This window comes from Homo sapiens, chromosome 2, assembly GCF_000001405.40.
Source record: "Homo sapiens chromosome 2, GRCh38.p14 Primary Assembly".
NCBI lineage: Eukaryota > Metazoa > Chordata > Mammalia > Primates > Hominidae > Homo > Homo sapiens.
This window is the reverse complement of record NC_000002.12, coordinates 203,930,995-203,932,316: the sequence shown is the minus strand read 5'-3', so window position 1 is coordinate 203,932,316 and position 1,322 is coordinate 203,930,995.

Below are 1,322 nucleotides of genomic sequence, written 5' to 3'. Positions count from 1 at the left end.
GTAGCTGGGGCTACAGGTGCATGCCATCATGCCCAGCTAATTTCTGTATTTTTAGTAGAGACGGGGTTTCACCATGTTGGCCAGGATAGTCTCGATCTCTTGACCTTGTGATCTGCCCGCCTCAGCCTAAAGATGCCTTCTTTGCAAGTATGTTTGCAATGCTCCACAACTATTTATTGAATGAACAAGTGTTTGAAGAATCCTTGACTTTTGGAGGAACCATATGACCTTGGGAATGCTCACCAATGACAATTTTTCACTCTGAATCATAATGTGAGAGCAGAAAATTATCAAAACATGTTTGTATTTCACATTGAAATTAATTGAATAAATATATAATTCATCATCCTGATTCATCTCTCATCACTTGCCCATCTCTAATCATAAAACAAAAGTATATTCCATTTTGACAGCCAAATATTTTCTCATTTAAAGTTATTAATTAATCCATAAAGCCCAGAAAACTGATTATATATTTCCATGAGGGGTGAAAAAAATCAGCATGAGATGTGACTGCCAAATGGTATGATTGATATTTTTAACAAATATACTGCCACTTATTCATGTTGGCCTTCATTCCAATGATAGTATATTCCTCAAAACATAAGTAAGGCACCTCTCTGGATCCCATTCCTTCCAGCCTCTGCAGAGTTCAGGCTCCCTTAGTTCTGTCTTTGGCTCCTGAGTTACCATTCTACAGTTCTGTATTCATCTGTTCTCACACTGCTATGAAGAAATACCTGAGACTGAGTAATTTACAAAGATAAGACATTTACTTGACACACAGTTCCGCATGGCTTGGGAGGTCTAAGGAAACTTACACTCATGGCAGAAGGCACCTCTTCATAGGGCAGCAGCAGAGAGAATGAGTGCCAGCAAGGGAAATGCCAGATGCTTATAAAACCATCAGATCTCATGAGAACTCACTCACTATCATGAGAACAACGTGGGGGAAACCACCCTCATGATTCAATTACCTCCCATCACGTCTTTCCCATGACACATGGGGATTCTGGGGATTACAATTCAAGATGAGATTTGGGTGGGGATACAGCCAAACCATACAGCCAAACCTGCCCCTGGCCCCTCCCAAATCTCATGTCCTTACATTTCAAAACACCATCATGTCTTCCCAACAGTCCCCCAAAGTCTTAGCTCATTCCAGCATTAACCCAAAAGTCCAAGTCCAAAGTCGCATCTGAAACAAGGCAAGTCCCTTCCACCTATGAGCCTGTAAAGTCAAAAGCAAGTTACTTACTTCCTACATACAATGGGAGTGGTATGGTTTGGCTGTGTACCCACCCAAATCTCACCTTGAATTG